The sequence below is a fragment of the Homo sapiens genome, chromosome 5, assembly GCF_000001405.40.
Source record: "Homo sapiens chromosome 5, GRCh38.p14 Primary Assembly".
NCBI classification, from domain to species: domain Eukaryota; kingdom Metazoa; phylum Chordata; class Mammalia; order Primates; family Hominidae; genus Homo; species Homo sapiens.
Genome location: NC_000005.10, coordinates 176,710,959 through 176,713,693, shown reverse-complemented (window position 1 = coordinate 176,713,693; position 2,735 = coordinate 176,710,959). Strand labels below are relative to the sequence as shown.

Here is a 2,735-nt window from a genome sequence, read left to right as displayed (position 1 = left end):
GTATGCTCTGGAGGGGAAGCTGCCACTTTCAGCTCACCCTGACTACTGAGTCGTCTCCAGGGGCGGCTGAGTTCTTACATCAGACCCTTGGAATCATTGGTAGTTTGGGGGTGTTGGCTTCACCTGCCAGTTCCTCCACCCACATGCAGGCTGTAGGCACCTCAGAGAGGGCTGCTACCCTTGGAATCTCAGAGTGTGAAAGAGAAGAGGCCCTTGCGGGAGGGGAGGACCCCCGGGAAAGCACACCCACCTCCTTGCTGTGAGAGGGGACTCCGGAGTCTTCTCTTTGCTGTTTCATGGGAGGAGAGTCACAATGAGTGAAATGACAAGTGTTTTCTATGTTTAAATTTTTATATTCCACCCCTTACTTGGCAACCGGAACCCCCAGGCTACGTTTTTTACACATATAGAATTCCAAGTCCAGAGTTGAAATTTGAGAGCAGAGGCGTCACCCGAATCCCTTGGGGGTCAGCTCATTAAAAATTCAGGTTCCCAGGTCCCTCCCGGAATCCAGAGTCCAGCAGAGCTCCCTGCTCTCCCTCCCATGGCCTTCCCGTCTCCAGGGCTGGCTCAGGCTCTGGATCAGACCTCCTCCTGCTCTTCTCTAAAGGGCCTCCCACAGGCACCCATTAGCAGAGGCGGCAGGCTCCACCCCAGACCTGTCCCAGGCCCAGCTACTTCTCTCACCGGCCCCCCTGGTCCAAACCCCCTCCTCTCTCACTACAGCCTCCTAAATTTTCTGTCACCTCCTCCCCAGTCTCTCCATTCCACACGAGAGCATCTCGGGTTCTGTTTTCTAATGTAAATCAGATCACGGAACTCCCGTGCTGAAGCTTCCAGTGACTTTCTGGCTGCAGTGGAAGGAAATCCAGACTCTTTTCCAGGGCCACACGCTTCCCCCCACTCCCTCGCTCCATCTGCTTCCGTCACTTCCCCCAAACCTCTGAGGCTGGCCCCCATTCCTGGCCTTTGCTCCTGCTGTTCCCCGGCTGGCCTGCCCTCCCATATCCTCAGCAGCCCAGGCCTCAGCTCCCCACCTCCCTCTCCTGCCCCAGGTCCCTGCTCCATCGGCTGTGCTGCCACTGGTGCAGACCACATGCTGTCTTTCTCATTCATTTATCTGCTGGCCTGTCCATCGTCCTCTTCCTTCTCCACTGGAACATGAGCAGGGACCTCCAAGGACATGCCCACCAGAGCCCCAGGGCACAGAGGAACATCTGGCACATAGTAAGTGCTTCAAAAACAATGTTGAATGGACAGACAAACATGTGCAGGGCTTGCCCCACCCCTCGCTGTCCCCTTTAATCCCTGCAGCTGGGAAGACAGTGAGGCCCAGAGGTGTCCAGCTGGCGAGGTGGCCGACCACGGTCCACAAGCAGCTCTCCCGCCTCTCTACTGGGCCCTGCACCCAATGCCTCACTGAGGGGTGGGAGAACCTGTGTGTAGGGGCTTTCCTCCCTTCTTTAGCTCCAGACACTGAGCTGGCACCTGCCTTCCCACTTCCTTCCTAGGGATGCAGTTCCTGGGATTCTCAGTCCCTCCCTGTGTAGACAGATCCAAAGGCCCAAGAAGTAACACGGTACTCGGAGCCGCCGCCTGGTGGGGGTCGTTCCACTCTTTCTATTCAGAAGATGTTTTCCCGGGCTCCTCCTGGTGTTAAATCATTCCTCCAAATTAGCAGGAACACTCATTACCAACCCAACCACCTCCATTAGGCAGGAAATGTGTCTTTCTTGTGGCAGCTCCCCCCAGACCCGGGGCCATCCCCCAGCACTCCCTGGATGGGGGTGGGTGGGAGGCTGGCTGGAAGCAGGGGGTGGAGCATGCACCACTCCTAACTGGAGCGGGGCGTCGGGGGGCGCAGAGCCCTGCCGGGGCGGGTGATAGTCACAGTGGCTTCAGGCTCCTCTTCTGCTCCCTTACCCCTTGGTCCCCCAGATCCCCTGCTCAAAGGGCACACAAGCGCCCTCACTTGTGCGCCCTGCCTCTCTGGTCCTGCCTCCATAGACAGGCCTGTGTGATGGGTTTTAAGGAAGGCAATGAGGGCAGGGGCATTTGTAAAGCAGTGAGGGACCAGACATCACTTACTTATGGGAATTATCTTAAGAGTTCAGTCCTCTCCACCATGGGAGGCTGAGGCAAGAGGATTGCTTGAGTCCAGGAGTTTGAGATCAGCCTGGGCAACATGGTGAGACCCCATCTCTACAAAAAATATATATATATATATATATACAAAAATAAAAAAGAGTTCAATCTTTCCACATTCTAAAGTTTGGATGTGAGCTTTCAAAACAGCTGTGGATGCCCTCTGTCTCCAGGGCCCCAGGGCTCCCCACTGCCCAGCTCAGGGCCTGGAAGCTGTCCTGAACTGGGTCTTCCAACAGGTGTGTTGGAGGACTCCAGCTCACTACAGTTTTCTAACGAGTTACTCACCAGACTGTCTTCAGGGAACAGAAACTGATTAAAAACCAGGCGTGAAATGGCTCATCCTACACAATGCGTATAATAAATATTGATAACAACAACAACGATAATAATAATTTTGCCTACATTTCCCAGGTTGTCTAAGGAAGTGTCAGCAGCACAGTTACACACTGGAGAACATGCAGCATTCGGCTGCCTTAGAATAGCCTCCTTTGGCTCATTAGAGGGGTGTGTGCCCAAGGACAGGGGGCAGCATTTGTTCAGCTCTGGAATTTCCAGCGCGCAGCAGCTCCACACATCATGCCGAGGTG

At 54.8% G+C, this 2,735-nt stretch overlaps 1 annotated feature.

The window, feature by feature from the left end:
• Positions 452–1,412: an enhancer, noted in NCBI's record as "H3K4me1 hESC enhancer chr5:176139283-176140243 (GRCh37/hg19 assembly coordinates)". NCBI's record gives its function as "activates a minimal SCP1, AML or CMV promoter by ChIP-STARR-seq in primed H9 embryonic stem cells {active_cell/tissue: H9 hESC(primed)}" and the evidence as "EXISTENCE:reporter gene assay evidence [ECO:0000049][PMID:30033119]".